This window comes from Homo sapiens, chromosome 7 (genome assembly GCF_000001405.40).
Source record: "Homo sapiens chromosome 7, GRCh38.p14 Primary Assembly".
NCBI classification, from domain to species: Eukaryota; Metazoa; Chordata; class Mammalia; order Primates; family Hominidae; genus Homo; species Homo sapiens.
This window is the reverse complement of record NC_000007.14, coordinates 107397643-107416372: the sequence shown is the minus strand read 5'-3', so window position 1 is coordinate 107416372 and position 18730 is coordinate 107397643. Positions and strand designations below refer to the sequence as shown.

The 18730-nt window shown below is 34.9% G+C and overlaps 1 protein-coding gene across 10 annotated transcripts in view; it reads left to right on the top strand.

The window, feature by feature from the left end:
* Positions 1-18730, top strand: part of COG5 (component of oligomeric golgi complex 5) — a 362549-nt gene that overhangs the window by 147548 nt on the left and 196271 nt on the right. For 8 of the 10 annotated variants that reach the window (NM_001379511.1, NM_001379512.1, NM_181733.4 and 5 more), the window contains exon 7: positions 3741-3871. The exons of the other annotated variants lie outside the window; for them this stretch is intronic. In NM_001379511.1, coding sequence (NP_001366440.1) covers positions 3741-3871 — 131 coding nt within the window. The remainder of the gene's footprint in view (positions 1-3740; positions 3872-18730) is intronic. 10 annotated transcript variants of the gene reach the window in all.

Genomic DNA, 18730 nt, shown 5'->3' with positions numbered 1-18730 from the left:
ATGTTATTGAGATTCATTGTTATTGATATTTATACCATATGTACATACCTGTCATTTGTCTATTTTCACTCTTCTGTAGTAGTACTTGGAATGAATATATTACAAAATTTTTTTCTTTTATTGATGGTTATTTGTATTTTCAGCTTTGTTTTTAACAGTGCTACTATGAACATTCTTGTACATGTCTTCTGATACACATATATGACAACATTTCTGGGGTATGTGCCTAAGAATGGAATATTTTAGTCATGGGGCATACACATATGAAACCTTATCAGATAGTCCCATATTGTTTTCCAAACTGGTTTTTACTAACTTACAATGTTGCTATTTATATATACACACATATATACATACGTGTATGTGTGTGTATATATACACACATATATACATACGTGTATGTGTGTGTATATACACACACATACATACATACGTGTATGTGTGTGTATATACACACACATACATACATACGTGTATGTGTGTGTATATACACACACATACATACATACGTGTATGTGTGTGTATATATACACACACATACATACATACGTGTATGTGTGTATATATACACACATACATACATACGTGTATGTGTGTGTATATATACACACATACATATATACATACATGTATTTATATACATATACATATATACATTCATGCACACGTACATATATCCCTATGTATGTATGTTACTGTTGCAATTAACACTGTAATAAATGCGTTTGTGCTCAAATATATTCACCTTTTTCTTCTTTTTTAAAATTATTATTTATTCCCAGAAGCAGAATCATTGATTTAGAGGATGTGATTTTTTTTTCTAGTAGACTAGCCACCTTATTTTAATTTTTGGTATTATTTTTCTTGACTTCTATTTACTTTTTAGAATTTAGTTTTATTTATTATGGAAGTTATACATGTGTAATAAACTCAAATAGCTCTACAAGGTTTGTTTTTAAAAAATGGCAATGCTCTGCCTTCTTCCTGGCCTCATTTACTCTTTCTCAGAGGCAAACTTTTCAGTCTTTTTCAGCTAATTATTTTAGTATTTGCCTCCATATCTGTAAATAATCTGCTTATATTTCCACTTTTTAATTTTTAACTTCTTTGACTCCTCATCATGGTGCATGAAGATTTACCCTCCTCATTCCTTTCAACTTCCAGCACCAACCCAATTTCATACGTGCATTCCTCATTCATCTAGTTTTCTTCTGAATAAATAATTTAGTGCTAACATTGTGGTGAAACATAAGTGCATAGCTGAATTCTTTAGCAAACTGTAGTTGTACTTTCCTTTTTTTGTTTTCATTTACACAAAGGAGGAGGCTAGTAAAAGAAGGGACAGTGGGCCGGGCATGGTGGCTCACGCCTGTAATCCCAGCATTTTGGGAGGCCGAGGCGGGTGGATCACAAGGTCAGGAGATCAAGACCATCCTGGCCAAAATGGTGAAACCCCGTCTCTACTAAAATACAAAAAATTAGCCAGGCGTCGTGACGTGCACTTGTAGTCCCAGCTACCCGGGAGGCTGAGGCAGGGGAATCACTTTGAACCCAGCGGGCGGAGGTTGCAGTGAGCCGAGATCGCACCACTGTACTCCAGCCTGGCAACAGAGCAAGACTGAGTCTCGGAAAAAAAAAAAAAAAAAAAAAAAAAAAAAAAAAAAAAAAAGGGACAGTGAGGATTTTGGAATCAATAAAGACATTTTCTATTGCAAAATGGAGAACATGTTAGTCAGTGTGAAGCCAGAGGTTCATGAATGGAAGGGCAACTATAATAAACTAGAATAAACCAGAACATTTATTCCGGTAGCCATGTGTACTATTGACTAGAATATTGAAAGCCTAGTAAAATGACTGATGTGCTTGAATTCCCTTTTATCTAATCTAGTAGATTAAATTTTTCTCATGTTAAGTAAACCAAGAGATGATTAATATCATTTCTTTTCCACTAAAAGCACTAGTCTCATAGTTTTCTCCTAAGGAGATGATAAATACATTAAATTCAAATAGATTAGTTTCATTTCCTGCTACATCACTGTGGTATATGAAGGGATCCAAGAGATATTTGTATTAAGTGGCTAGGAAGTTAATTCTGGCTGTGCACTCCACATTTATTAAGGTTTAATTGTCAAGATGTGAGTAATGCTGCCATATTTCAAAATTTGGCATTATATATATTTTTAAACATTTACATATTTTTAAAAGTTAAACTAGTTATTTAATACTTTCATTGTTCTAACCTGGGCAAATTTTTTGAACAGTTATATCTGTTATGATTTTTACATCTTTACCCTTTCAATGTGCAAATTGGAAGAATATCGGAGGAATACTATCTCTTTGAATATAAGCTCTATTCTTTTGAGGCCTGGGATTATCTACTGAAAAGACTGTGGTCAGAAAGACCAGGATTTTAATTCTGTTTTACCGGTTACTAGCCAAGTGAATTTGTTCAGATTACTTAGATTCTTCGGATTTTAGTATCTCCATCTAGGTATGATGAGATTTCTAGCAAGATTGTTTAGAAAATTACAAATAACAGATGCATTAAAGTAATACACACTTTGCGTCTAGCTTAATGTATTATACATGCTATATCTTCAAAAATGTTAGTCATTGTTATTGGAATCATCATCATCATCATTTTGTTCTTGGCTCCAGTCTCTAGATGTGCTTGACAAAGAGCAGATATATAAAGACTTGTAACGCTGATAGTGATTGTATGCATCAGATAAATGGGAGGGGAAATTTAGTATCATAATCCCTCTATTCTTCTGTGGTGAAGGGCAGTCGCTGGGGTTTGTTACTACATTTTTTTCCTGGTTTTTTTTTTTTGTTGTGTTTTTTTCCCTCTGTTGCTACATGTCTCTTACTGAAAAGCAGGTTTGTGGAATAATTAGTAACTAAAATAATATAGACCTTTCTCCCTCCCAGCTCTTAGAGCCCTTTGTACTGCAAATCTAGCATGTTGTTTGGTTACTTCTTAAGGTGAGTGATTGTAAATATGGTTTGGATAACTGGGGAGGTGGAAGCTGGTGGTGGTTATATAATATGATGAAGGCCACTTTTTTGCTTTTAAAAATACTGGGGCCCAGCTACTCAAGAGGTCAAGATGGGAGGATCACTTGAGGCCAGGAGTTTGAGACCAGCTTGAACAACATAGTGAGACCCTGTCTCTTAAAAAAAAAGAGAATAGTTGGATGTGATGCCAGGTACTGGTAGTACCAGCTACTTGGGAGGCTGAGGTGGGAGGACTGCTTGAGCCCAGTAGTTCGAGACTATAGTGAACTATAATCACATGTGTGACAAGCCACTACACTCCAGCCTGAGCAGTGTATTGAGACTTCCCCCATCTCTTAAAAAAAAAACAACAGCAGCAGCAAAAAAACTGTACTTGCATCTTGAGAATTTTCTGAAAATGTGAGAATATTTATTTACTTTAAAATACTAAATTTGACACTTTTAAATGTGATCTCTTGACATTTCCTTAAACTTGTAATAATCATCATTTCTATTCTTGCCTTACCAAATCTGTCTTATTTGGAGCATTTAACTCCAGCATAAATTACTTATTAAATAGAAAATATTTGGGAAACTGTATTTTTTAAAATACGGATTTTGAATGGCAACCCTGTTTAATAGCGTTTTTTGTTTTTTTTTTTTGAGAAGTTATACATATTTTGATACCTTGATATTTATTCAGTATTGAAATATTTGAATGTGTATGTTTTTGTTTTAAACAGATTATCTTTCTCAAGGAATAGATCTTTCTGGAATAGAAGTGATAGAAAATGATCTACTTTTTATTGCAAGAGCCCGACTTGAAGTGGAAAATCAAGCTAAGCGCCTACTAGAGCAGGGTTTGGAGACTCAGGTAATAAAAATAAGACTGTTTTTTAATGTAAAAAATGTGTCATAATACAGGTGAACATTTGACTTTGAGTTCAAAAAAGTAATATATGTCTTATAGTAATATATCACTGAGAAAGTATGTCTACAATTTAAATCAAAGAATGGGTCATCGTTAAGGGAAATTTTAATATATGTTTAATATATTTAATTTAAAAATAGACCTAATGTTTCTAATGTATAATGTATATAACATGAAATGTATTTTTTATGATGTGCATATATAGATAGATAACTAGCTGACCATGCCTGCTTTGTCTAAAGCACGATTCCTCATTTAAGCCCTTCAACAACCCAGTAAGATTGGTATTATTGTTAATTATATTTTGCAGTTGAAGAAACAGAGCTTAAATAAGTTGTTGAAAATCACATAGCTAGTAAATTATTTAGTTTGGATTCAAATTTTAATCACTCTAGTCCCAGAACTTTGCACTCTTAATCATTATGCCATAATTTAAAAAATTTTTGACTTGACATTTCTCCTAAGGTATCATTTTCCTGATGCTTAATTTTCTGAATTGGAAGAAATTCAAAGGTATTGATGTATTAGATTCAACAACTTAGAATTAGATCTTAGATCTACCCTTGTATTATACCCAGATATTTTCTCCGTTTGTATTGGGCTCCAATATAATTATTAATAGAGTTTTTTCATATCCTCTAAATCAGGAATTTCATTTTGTGCATTTATGTTGGACAGAAACAATGTTATTAATGTGCTGTTCTTAAGCCTCTAAATCAAGAAGGTACTTATTTGACTTCTGATTCCTAAATAGTTGTAATTTTTAAAATATAACTGAATCAGGTACTTTTTCTTTTAAAATTGAATATCATATACAAAATGAAAAGTGGACAAATCATAAACTTTCATATAGAATGAATACCACAGTGTGAACATACCTGTGAAATCAAAACCCAGGATAGAAATAGGACATTATCAGTACTCCTAGAGTTTCTTTACCCTCTCTCACAATTTTTACTCTCTTCTGGCTTCCCCAAAGATAATTATTATTCTAACTTCTAACATTAGAGATTACTTTTAGTTGTTTGGTCAATTATGTTTTAACTCTAGGTCTCCCTGTAAGGATGAAACTGTTACACCGTTTAAAAAAAAAAAGAGTATTTCTCTACATTAAGTAAGAGAAGATACCTTTTTTTAGATCTTCAAAAGAGAAGGAAAGATAACTCTATTAATCAAACATTTTGCCCTGAATTTCAAAACAAGAAAGGGCAGTTACCTTCCTAAGAAGTGGCCGCTGGATTTGACTCTGTAGCCCTCCATCCTGTATGAATTATGCCTTCTTTGGGATTTTATGCAGGGAATTTATTTTCTATAACATATTGTCCTCTTCCTCATATGGTTGTTTTCATCTCCTAATCCTTTTGTGTCTCCCATCTCTAGGACTTCAGCAGTACTGTTTTCTCTCCATTCTAAATCCCACATCCTGGATGTTACCAATACCTATGGAGATGGTTATTCTCATACGTTGGGCTCACAGTCGTTTGACATCTACTAGCCCAAACTTGAGTCTAGTGCCCTTCCCTTCCATCCTATTTCAGAATCTTTCCCTCCTTATCAACGTTGAATATTGTCATTAGTATCATTTGGTCTAAGTCTCCAGTGTCTCTTCCTTTGACTGTAGCTTCCTGTTTTTTCTGCCCTCCCACTCCCTTGTTCCTGTTATAACTCATAATTCTTTTATTAACCTAAAACATCAATCTGTTGGCCGGGCACGGTGGCTCACACCTGTAATCCCAGCACTTTGGGAGGCCAAGGCGGGCAGATCACCTAAGGTTGGGATTTCGAGACCAGCCTAACCAACATGGAGAAACCCCTTCTCTACTAAAAATACAAAATTAGCCAGGCATTGTGGCGCACTCCTGTAATCCCAGCGACTCGGGAGGCTGAGGCAGGAGAATTGCTTAAACCCAGGAGCCGGAGGTTGCGGTGAGCCGAGATCCTGCCATCACACTCCAGCCTGGGCAACAAGAGCAAAACTCCATCTCAAAAACAAAACAAAATGAACCCATCAGTCTGTTAACTCATCTACAGCATAAATGTCTTTACTACTCGATGGTTTTCTACTCTGTCAACCTCATGTCTGTCCCCTTCTCTGGGTCTACTTATTTTTTTATATTAAATTGATCAAAGATGTGTCTCTTCAACTATTCACCTAACTGATGATTCTCAAACTTCACCATGCATCAGAATTGATGGGAGGACTGGTTAAAACACAGATAGCTGAGCCCAACACCCAGAATTTCTGATTCAGTAGATCTGGTACCAAGAAGTATTCCCCTTGATGATACCCTCAAATTATTTCACCCTTGCCTTTCTACTACTCCTGCACAGCAAAATGCCATCTGTGGACCATGCAACATTTATCCCTATTTTACTTCTATGCCTAGTCTTTTCATTGCTCTTAAAAAACAAAAACAAAACAAACAAAACAAAACAGACAACTGTAAGACTGTTGTAACTAAAATTTATGATTCTTAGATGCAGCTGGGCTTCAATTACTTTTTTATTACGTCCAGTTCCCTCTTCCATTTCACAGATGGTTGTTTCAGATTTTCTTTATTCACTGTAAACCTCCAGTCTCTTCTCTCTCATTGTCATGAGATGATCTTGTCACACTCCTTACAAGGAAAATCAAGGTCACAAGGCATGCATGTTTTTGACTTCATGCAAAGTTCATTCTTAAGGACACAACTCCATCAGATCTCTAACCTTCCTATTTAAGGCTAATTCCACACCATCCTTTCTGCCCTGCTTCTTTACTTTGCTTTTTGGCTTATCTGAATCTTCAACCTTTTCCTTTTTATTAGCAGCAAACAAAGATACTAAAATTTCTCTCACTTGAAAGGAAAAAGGATTCTTCAATGTTAACTGTTTACTTAGTTATATCTTATTATGTAACTATTTCCTAGTCTGTTTACTTCAAACTATTTGGAAGAATAAGCTGCTCTTACTGTCTCCTTTTCTTGACTTCTCATATAGTCCCCAGTCTACACTATTGTGGCTTCTAACATGACTTCTTCAATGAATCTACTGAAAGTAGATTACTTTCAGTAATCTACTGGGTGACTGCTGGGTGACCTCCCAGTTTCCCAAAGGACTTTTTTTTTCTTTTCTCAAATTTTTGATATTGGTAACCATTTCAACTTCTTGACAACCTTTCTTCTCTTCGTTTCTTTATCTCAATCTCTCCTGTTTTCTTTTTTTTTTTTTTTTTCCTTGACGTTGCTTTTTGGTTTCTTCATAATTGTAACAATTTCTGCTTACTTCCTTAATCTTTGTGCTCTCTCTGTGTGACCACTTTTTATTCTAAATGCTTTTCCTTGATGATCTCGTATATTCCCATTTGCTGATAACTTTAAAATCTCAATCTGCTTCCAAGATCTCTTTTTGTAAACACCAAATCTTTATAGCTTCCTGCCCTGCCTGCAGGATGCTTGTATTGGTTAAAGTTTGCTTATAGAGAACAGAACTTACTTTAGCAAGTTTTAGTAGATAGGGGTTTATTATAGGATATGGTTGGGAGGGCTCAAGAAAAAGACCATAATCTGAGCCTCTCAGAACTACTGAACTGTGGAGAATTGGGCAAGTTGGGCACATATTGCTACCTCCATGTCAGGAAACTGCCCACTGGTGTTTTATATAACCTTCATTGCATTTGATAGCTTCAGAGCCATATTTCCTCTGACAAGATCTAGATCAGCAAAATAGATGTCCCCTGTTCTGCCTTTTGGCACTCATAATGCTAGGGACTATACACCAGGCCCCATTAGAGCTGATAGAAGAAATCCAAACACTCTATGACCAAGCTTGGCAGGGAAAACAACAGAAGTAGGAAAAGTACAGCCTCTGCCATCTAAATGTCAAACAAGTTCTTATAGTTAATGGAACATTAGTCATATCTGGACCCTTTTACAGCAAACACATACTAAAAGGAAGCCAGAATGTATATTGAGCAAGCTCATTCTTAGTATCATCCACATTATTCCATGAGACCATCATAAAGACTCTGTAACTCAGAATATTAAAATACAGAGTTGTCAAATATATCTTCTCCTGTGTTTGTTAGCTGCTGTGGAGCACCACTATTCAACTGGAAAACTTGGAAATCAGCTCATCTAAGGACCAGCACACTTTTTGCGAAGAGACAGATAGTAAATAGTTTAGATTTTATAGGCCATTTAGTTTCAGTTATAACTACTGAACTCTGCTGTTGAGGCAGGAAAACAGTCATAGACAATATGTAAATGAATGAATGTGGTTGTGTTCCATTAACACTTTATTAGCAAAAACAAGCAATAAACCAGATTTGTCCCACGAGCATAGTTTGTTGACTCCTGTTCTACTCTGATTGTTTCTGTATTCTTGTTTCATACCTTAGCTTTCTCATCCTGATTACTGTATTAGTCTTCTATTAGTGTCTGATTTCCATTTAATACTCATACTGCTTCCACAGTGATCTTAATATAAGGCATATCTAGTCATGTCCGTTTGCTACTTAAAATTCTTCAACAACTTTGCTCTTTATAAATCTCAAACTGTAACCCCATTTGCTTTTTGCCATCTTGCTACATCCCCAAATGACACTTATGGCTGTCCCTTGTTTCCCTGAACATAACAGGTTTGTTCAGCCTCTGTGGTTTGCATTTAATGTTAAATATTCTTTGAACACAGTTACTGGTCGAATTTACCTGGCTGTTTGTTTTGTATTCATTCTTTACCCAACTTTGTCCTCCTTAACTTCCCCAAATAGCCTTTCCTGATTCTTGTGGGTGGTTTTAGAACCTCTATTTAGGGTTATAATAGCACCTTTGAAAAAAAAAAAAAAAAGAAGATGCTTAATAATGTTATTTATTATATTTGAGCATTTTATTTATCACACTTGTTATAATATATATATGTTTTGATGTACTCACTGGATTGACGTTCATTAAGACCTAGTACTATATCTTTTATCTCTGTTTTCCCATTCTTTGAATTGCTCAATAAGTATTTGTTAAATATTAAATAATTGGATAAAACACTAGATGATGGTCTTAATGTTTATTTTTCTTTTTCCTTTTTTGAGATGGAGTTTTGCGCTTGTTGCCCAGGTTGGAGTGCAGCGGCACGATCTCGGCTCACTGAAACCTCCGACTCCTGGGTTCAAGTGATTCTCCCACCTCAGCCCCCCGAGTAGCTGGGATTACAGGCACGTGCCACCACACCCAGCTCATTTTTGTATTTTTAGTAGAGACGGGGTTTCGCCATGTTGGCCAGACTGGTCTCAAACTCCTGACCTCAGATGATCGACCCGCCTCTGTCTCCCAAAGTGCTGGGATTACAGGCGTGAGCCACCGTGCCTGGCCCTAATGTTTCTTTTGAAGGATGATTGCTCAAATTATCAAATTCTTTGATAATTACTTCTCAAAGAAATACTTAAGGAATTCCAAGTCAACCTTGAATAAAGATGAATATTTCTACAGAAAATTGATATTAGCATAGTTTGTTTAGTTGTGAGAAAGATGGCAATTTGTATTTCAGGGAGTGCAATGTCATAAGCCTTTTGTATTAATCTAATGGGAAACCTTATGTATATATACTACCTAAAATTTTGCATCTATGACATGTTTTTGATGTATACATTTGTATATATCTTTATGCAGTTCTTAAAATTGTATCATATTTTAGAGTCATGGGACTCAAACCAAGTAATTCTAGAAGGGAAACAGTACCAACGTTTTTGAAACCAAAATATTATCTTCAATAGGGTTGGATAAATTTAACATGTCAAAAAGGAATGGTTACTTTTAAAGGCTTTTTGTTTTTTAATTTAATTCTCTTATATTTAAAGTAAGAAAGTATTTTCTAGCCTAGTTGTTTCTAAATAAATATATATTAGATATTTTATTGTCTTGTGCACATTTTTACCAGTTGTCAAGTTTGACTTTTCTTTGGTTTTTAAATTCATATTAAAAATTAAGAGACTGACAAACTTTTAGGAAGTTAGTATTCCTTAAATATTGATAGTTTTGTTATCTGTTTAGACTATATAAATTTATTCAAAAGATTTATCAAAGTAGATGACTGTTGTTATTTAACCAGTGGCCTATTTCTAATAAATCAGATTAAAAAGACAAAAGTATAAAAGTAATGTGTGTCTGCACGGGTAGGTGTAGAATGATCTGCATAGATCTTAGAAAAATAGGAGTCAGGGAACTATAATTTTGTTGTATGTCTCAGCATGGTTCATAGGAGGATAGGTTCTGCTCAGTGGAGGGGGAGTATTTTCTCCCTGTAAGGCCATATGTATCATATTATCATAGTTTATTGACATTATCCCTTAATATTATCCAATTCATTTGTCTTATTTAGATGTATAAAGTAACCTTCTGAGTACAATTTGGCTCCTCTGTTAGTCCATTTGGGTTGCTGTAACAAAACACCATAAACTGGGTGGCTTATAAACAGAAATTTATTTTTCACAGTTCTGGAGGCTGGGGAAGTCTGAAGGCTGGAGGTGCCAGCAGATTGGGTATCTACTGAGGGCCAACATTCTGATTCACAAATGATGCCCTCTTGATGTGTCCTCATGTGGTAGAAGGAGCAAAGGCACCCTCAAGCTTCTTTTATAAGGGCATGAATCCCATTCATGGGTGCCCTGCCCTCATGATATAGTCACCTCCCAAAGGCCACACCTTCTAATACTATCACCTTGGCAGTTAGGATTTCATCATATGAATTGAGGAGGAAAGACACAAACATTCAGACTATTGCAGCTTGCTGTGTAATTTTCCTAAAGGGAGAAAATGTATTATCTGCCAGTATTAACATTCTGGTTCAGTTCATGAAATTTACTGTATTTCTTATGTATAAATTGATATTTGTGTTTGTAACATCTTTCTGAGTTTAATTGTGTGTGTCTGTCTTCCTCAGACCTGGCTTTCTCACAAAGTCAAGTTTCAGGTTTTGTGGAGCTGAGAGGATTAAACTCTTAATAATCACGTCACTGTGATAAAGCTTCTTGGGAAGCAGGCTGTCGTAGTAGAAAGAGCCTGTGTTTGGGAGCTAGTGCCTTTTCTTCTCAGAGAGCAACAAGACAGAGGTGTCATCCAGCTGTGTCAGCAGGCAATTTAGGAATTAAGAGTGAAACGAACCATTGTTCAGTCTCTGTTCTTTGTCAGGCTCTGTGTTAGTCACTTTACATTTGTTATCTCAATTGCAGTAACAGATCTGTGAAGAAGATATAATTATCCATTTTCTGTATGGTTAAGGAAACAAAGAGATGGAAAGGTTAGGAAATTAACTGAAGATTACATAGCTGGCAAGTAATAGAATCATGATCTGGAGCTCCTGCTTCCCCCTTCTTTAGTAAGACCAAGCAGTTTATTCTAACTTTATTAAATAATTATATTGAAAATTATTTGACAATTTGTGAAGCAATTTGTATTGAAAAGGGAATTTTTATAGCATAAATTTTTTTTTAGGAAGTCTCCATTTGATGATTAATCTAAACTGGTCCTTCAGCATTCCTCAGAATTTTTGTTTTCTGGCCAACTGTTTTTTTTTTTTTTTTTTTTTTTCATCTTCTGAAATTACTGTTTTACGCTCTCTTTACTTTCCATCAACCATCTTCTCTTGCCATACCCCCATTTTACTCTGAGCAGATGTCCTTAATTCCTGCTTCACTGAGAGTCCTCTCACACCACCTCTGCTCTAGATCCTATTTTTTATTTTCTTAGAACCTTATCTTGTTGACATTTCCATCCCTCATTTCCCTTATACTGTCTCCTTCTCATCAACATTTAAACGTGCACATTTTATGCTACTCTCCTCATATGTTCTCTGCTTTTCAGTCTCACAAGCTTTCTATTAGTCGTTCACATCCCATTTTCCTTTCTTCTTTAGGGCCTTGGTACTCTTTTTATGCCTGGAATATGCTTCACGCTCCCTGTTAGAACAGATGCTACAGCTTATATGTATTTTATCCTCAAATTATATTCTCGCATGTATCAGAGATTAAAATAAATGTATAATGTTTATTATAAATATAGACTAAAAGAATTACAGTATTTTAACTTTGAAGTACTATTGCATTCATGAATGATTACGCACTTAGTTTATAGGCTCTTAGCCTGAATAGATGTTCAGTAAACAAGGAACTTTTGAAAAATTACATCATATTATCAGTTACATTTAATAATTAATTTCTGACATTAATTTGATTCCTCAAAAGTGTTGATGATCCTCTCTTATTGAGTATGTAGTTGATGCCCATCATTTTCAATATCAGTTCATTGTAAAAGTTAAAATAGCATGAGTCTTTAGTGCTATCTTTACCAGTTGTGAAATTAGTAGTATTTAATAACACTAAAAATTCTCCATCTTCATTGTCTTCAGTGATTTTTAGATTTTTGGTTATTGACTGATAATTCAATGAGATCTTTTGTTAAAAACTAAATTGTTACTTTCTGTTGAATCATGTTAAAGAAATGGGTGATGTTTCTATTCATTGAATTCTGCCCTTACTAAAATCATAAAAATAGTAATAATAATAATAATAATAATAGAGTCACCTAACTGTAATTTGCAGATAAATTGTCACTTCATTTTTATGGCTGCTATGTTCCCAATGCATCCTCCTTAAATTCTCCTTATGTTGAAATCCTAACCGCCAAAATTATGTTATTTGGAGGTCGGCCTTTGGGAGGTAAACAGGTCATGAAGGTGGGACTCTCTTGAATGGGATTAGTGCCCTTATAAAAGACTTTTTGCACTTACTATCTACCTTCCCCTCTCCTTCTACCCCTCATTTTACTCAGAGCCTGAGAGAGCTGCTTATCCTTTTGCCATGTGGGATCATATTAAAAAGGTGTCCGTTGTCAGGGAAGGGAACATCACACACCGGGGCCTGTTGGGGTTAGGGGGCTAGGGGAGGGATACCATTAGGAGAAATAGGTAATGTAGGTGACGGGTTGATGGGTGCGGCAAAACCACCATGGCACGTGTATACCTATATAACAAACCAGCACATTCTACACATGTATCCCAGAACTTAAAGTATAATTTAAAAAAAAAAAAAGGGTGTCTTTCTGTGAACTAGGAACATGAGCCCTTATCAGATACCCAAACTGCTGGCACCTTGAACTTGGACTTCCCAGTCTCCAGAACTGCAAAAAATAAATTTCTCTTGTTTATAAGCCCAGTCTATGGTATTTTGTTACAGCAGCCAGAACAGACTAATATAATAGCTATTCCTTTGTTATCTGAAGCAACTATTTATTAGAAGAAAGTTAGTGTAATTTCTTTTTTTAGCATTCCTTTCCAAACCAAAATTGTTTTAGTAAATGCAAATAACCTCTTTCATCACTATTTTTTCCTAGTTAATTGCCTAAGTGTTTTGTATTTATTTGTATGTTTTAAATAGCTTTGTAGTATTATAAAATACTATCATATTGCAAAATGTCTATTTTCAGATTTATAAACTAAATGACTGTTTAGATATGGAGGAGCTATTGTTTCTTTCTACACGAAAAATACATAAATAAACTTCTGACCTTACAAAAGTCTTATTACTTCTGTATCGGAAAGATTTATAGTGATATCACTACCATTTTCTTTGGAAAAATTTGGAAGGACTGGTGATGTAGAGCACATCTTCTGGGGATGCACAGAATATGATCATATTAGAAAAAACATTTTTCAACTCTATAGGCAGTCTGTCACAGCATGCGACTAGATATGCCATCCACCTGCAGCTCTTCCTGGTTCCCATTTCTCTCTTTTCTACTCACCATACAATCTTTCACTGACAGAAGTCACACAAAGAAAGGGAGAGGACATTATTTGTTTATTTATTTTTTCAGGATTACAACAGACTCCATTACCTCAGGCTTTAACTAGCTTTCAAAAATAGGTGGTAGAAATTGTGATCTGGATCAGTTCCTGCGTCACCATAGATACCAGTCCCCCACAGTAAAATGATGACATTTTAATTAGGAAGATGACTTTACCTTGTGAATTAGAAGCTTTCCCAGTAAACAAGTATGAGACTTTCTGGAGGTTCAAGGTGGAGGAAGATAATGTGTTTACTTGTCTTTAGAGGTCATCAGGAAAGAGGATTTCTGTGTTCACTTCTTTCAGAGCTTGGTACCTGGCTATAATCTCGACCCTGTGGTAATTGTTGCTAGTGATAGTAACTAAGTATTCATGAACTTGCCTTTTCCCTAAAGCAGAAGACCTTCTTGGTCAAGCCTAGGGTCCTGGTGCTTATCAACTGTCAGCCAAAAGTACCATGACAACCTTAGAGAAGCCAGCTCTAGAGAACCTAGACCTAGACCTAGCTACTCTAAGAAAATAATGTAGAATTGAAGTTCAGTAGATAAATATCTATATAGTATACAGTAAGAAATTTTGATATTATGAGCTCTTTTCACTTTTGCAGTTAAAAATTCTGAATTATTTCTGGTACAGCAAGGATACTAGTTCAAATGCATTGTGTTCAGTGAGCTCTATGGAAGTTAAGCATTATCTTAAGCTTCAAAAAGAAGGTCCTCTTAAAGTTGAACACAGTGATTCCTTTTGTAGTTTGCGATAGTAGTTCTGCAGGCAGCAAGCAATTGTTTTGGGATGTTTTCCTTCCCTTATGACCCAACAAACACCATTTGCCTAGCTTTAAAAGGTACAGCTTTTATATATTTAGCTGTTTTTCTGACTTGTCTCATGGATTATACAACAGAGCCCATCATTTGGGCCTGTGTAAACTCCTTTGTATATTTGGTCCCAGTATTGTTTTTACCACTAACTAGAGTTTCAGTAATTTTTCCCCTCTTGTTCAAAACTTGTTCCTTGGCACACAGTAAACAACTTGAAAGAATGAATGTAGTAAGAGCTCGCGTATTTCCTTTATGACCTTCAAATGATAATTTGCTGTTGTTTCACCATATATTTGTCTGTTTGTTCCCATCACTATAGCTTTCATTAGATTTAATGGAGACCTGATGTGGAGTACATTGGTATTCAATTAAATAAACTTTATGACATGTATAAATAATAATTTTAAAAGTTACTCTTCGGCAATTTCTTTTTAGAGATAACATTGTATATCATTATTAATAATAGTTACATAATATGTACCGTCATAGCTTTTATAATTTAAAAGGATATTTTAAAACTAATCATTTAAATTTTTTTTCTCTAAAGCTTAATGTTAGTTGTGTGACATGTCCTTTTTATTTTATCCTTAAATTTGAATGGAAATTAATTTGAACTCTTACATAACACCCAAAATCATGGGTTGGTAAACTACAGCCCGTGGCCTGTTTTTTTATGTTGCCGCAGTGCTAAGAATTATTTTTATATTTTTAAATGGTTGGAAAAAAGCAAAAACAAACAGCATACGTAGTGTGCAAAGCCTAAACTATTTGCTGTATTGCACTTTAAAGAAAAAATATGCTGATCCCTGCTTTAAATAATTGATTTTCTTGGCAGATACTTTCATCTTTTCTTTTCTCCTACTCTTTTTCTCTCTGTCTACCCTTTCCTCTTTTACGATGTGTCAATTACCATACGGCATTTCTGTATGCTTTTGTTTTACACCAAATGTAAAGTATGACTTTTATTCTAGTTTCTATATGCAGTCATGTTATTTTCATATTCTTTGACAAATTCTCTTGTTGTGAACAATCCACAATAACATTGGCTACTTTATTATTTTATTTTATTGCCATCTTGCAGTGTGGACTTACATCTAATTAACTGTCTGCTTTTAGACTTAGGGTATTTTGGTGTTATTACTTCCCATAGTTTTCCAGTTCACTGAATGCATTTCATTTCAGTTATTCATGTGAATAATTTTTCAATAACGGACTAAATTTATTGTATTTCATATAGAATTCTGTTACTGCTCTTTGATTAAAATTTGGTAGTCACTCTAGTCTATGTGTAATTGCTTTCTGCTTCTCAAAAATTTCTCAAAATTGTGTTTGTACTTGTATAAATCTATATGATTTTACTTAATTTAAACACTCTTGTGCTGGAGTGTTATTATAGTAGTAAATACTAGAATTTTATTTTGTAATTCAGAAAAATTACAGGCAGCAACTTTTTGTCTTTATAGATTAATTTGCATTTCCATGGTTTTACATAATTAGAGTTATACAGTGTGCTCTTCCTCTTATCTGGCTTTATACATTCAACATAATTATTTTGAGATTCATGCATGTTATGTGCATTGATAATTTGTTCCTCTTTTATTATGTCATTACTTATGGAAGTATCTTTATACGTTCACCTATTGATGAGCATTTAGGTTATTTCTACTTTAAGACTATTGTAAATAAAGCTGCATTAACACTCAAGTACAAGTCTTAGTTTCAGCTTATATTTTCATTTGTTAGGTTAATACCTAAGGCAAAAAAAAAAGGTTAGATTTTTGCAAAGACTATTATGTTTACTTTTTAAAGAGAATACCAGTTTTCTGAAGTGGTTCTATTAGTTTACATTTCCACATCCGTAGTTGAGGGTTCTGGTTCCTCCAGATTGTTGCCAACATTTGATGTTAGCAGTCTTTTTAATTTTAGCCATTTTAGTGGGTGTGTAGGAGGTTCTCGTACTTTTTATGTGCATTTTCTTAATAACTACTGATGTGACAAACTTTTTAACTGCTTAATAGTGAAGGTTTTTGTTCAATTTTTGAAGGGTTTGTTGTCTTCTCATTACTGAGTTGTAAGAATTTTTATTACATTCTGGATGTAAGTCTTCTATCAAATTTTGCATTGTAAATTGAATTAGTCGGTTTTCACACTGCTATAAAGACGTACCCACGACTGGGTAATTTATAAAGAAAAGAGGTTTAATTGACTCATATTTCCGCAGAACTGGGGAGGCCTCAGGAAACGTATAATCATGGCAGAAGGGGATGAGGCATGTCTTACATGGTGGCAGGCAAGAGAGAGGAGTGTGTGTGGAGCTAAGGGGAAAGAGCCCATTATAAAACCATCAAGTCTGGTGAAAACTCACTCACTATCATGAGAACAGCAAGTGGGAAAACCACCCCCATGATCCAATCACCTCCCACCAGGTTCCTCCCTCTACACATGGGGAGTATGAGGATTACAATTCAAGATGAGATTTGGGTGGGGTCACTGCCAAACCATATCATAAATATTTTCTTCTGTGTCTTTCCTTTTTTTCTGTTATCATGCACTTTTAATGTATAGTTTGATGAGTTTTAGTAAACTTATTTATTTATTTTAACTTTTTTTTTCAGACAGAGTCTCGCTCTGTCACCCAGGTTGGAATGCAGTGGCACGATCTCGACTCACTGCAACCTCCATCTCCTGGAATCAAGCAATTTTCCTGCCTCAGACTTCCGAGTAGCTGGGGCTACAGGCACATGCCACCACACCTAGCTAATTTTTATATTTTTAGTAGAGACGTGGTTTTACTATGTTGGCAGGGTTGGTCTTGAACTCCTGACCTCAGGTGATCTCCCTGCTTCGGCCTCCCAAAGTGCTGGGATTACAGGTGTGAGCCACCTTGCCCAGCCAAGTTTTAGTAAATTTATACAGATGTGCAACCATCTCATAACCAGTTTTGGAATATTGCCATCATCATACAAAAGTTCCTTCATGCTTGTTTGTAGTCAGTTCCTCCTCCTACCCCCAAACCCAGGCAATTACTAATTTTGATAGATTATAATTTCTGTCTTCTTAGTTTTTTTCTGAAAATTTTATATAAATACAGTCATATGACAGGTAATCTTGTGTATCTAGCTTCTTCACTTAGCACAATCTTTTATTTAGAATGATCCATTTTGTTGTATGCAGTGATCCCCAGCCTTTTTGACACCAGGGACTGGTTTCATGGAAGACAGTTTTTCCACACATGTGGGGGCAGAGGTGGTGGTTTTGGGATGAACTGTTCGCCTCAGATCATCAGCATTAGATTCTCATAAGGAGCACACAACCTATGTCCCTCGCGTGTGCAGTTAGCAATAGGGTTCGCACTCCTATGAGAATCGAACGCTGCTGCTGATCTGACAGGAGGCAGAGCTCAGGTTATAATGCTCACTGCCCTGCCGCTCACCTCCTGCTGTGTGGCCCAGTTCCTAACAGCCACCGACTCTTACTGGTCAGCAGCCCAGGGGCGTTGGGAACTCCTGATTGTATGTATAAATAGTCCATTGTTTTTCATTGATGAATAATATTCAGTTCTATGGATATATACATTTTGCTTGTGTCTTGATAAGTTGGTAGACTGCTTTTGTTTATTATGAATAATGCTGTCTTTTCCTCCCTTGATATTGTCTTTTTGAAAAGCAAAATTTTTTGTTTTGATAAAGTCTAGTTTATCCATGTTTTCTTTTGTATATTATGAAAGAAATTTTTGCCTACCTAAGGTTACAAAGTTTTTGTCTCATGTTTTCTTTTAGAGGTTTTAGAATTTTACATTTTAATTTTTATGTACAGTGCAAAATTATTTTTTTTCCATAGAGAAAGTCAGTTTTTTGAGCACCTTTTGTTGAAAAAGACCTTTTTTTTTCTTTCATTTAATCCTTCATTGTAATTTGTGGATACCTTTGCGTTTTGAGGTTATTTAATTTCCTGTCAGTCTTTCCCATAATGGTTTTAATATCAACGATTTCTGCCTAAATCTTTTTCTTAAATTACTTAGGGATTATGAAAGTGTGATTTTCTATTTTTGTTATTCCTTGTGTTTACTAGCTGCGATTATTTTGTAAAGAACTTTAACTCATCAACTGTGCATATTTGGTTACCCTGAACTGCAGTTTCTTTTGAAAATGATATATAAATACTTAGAAAT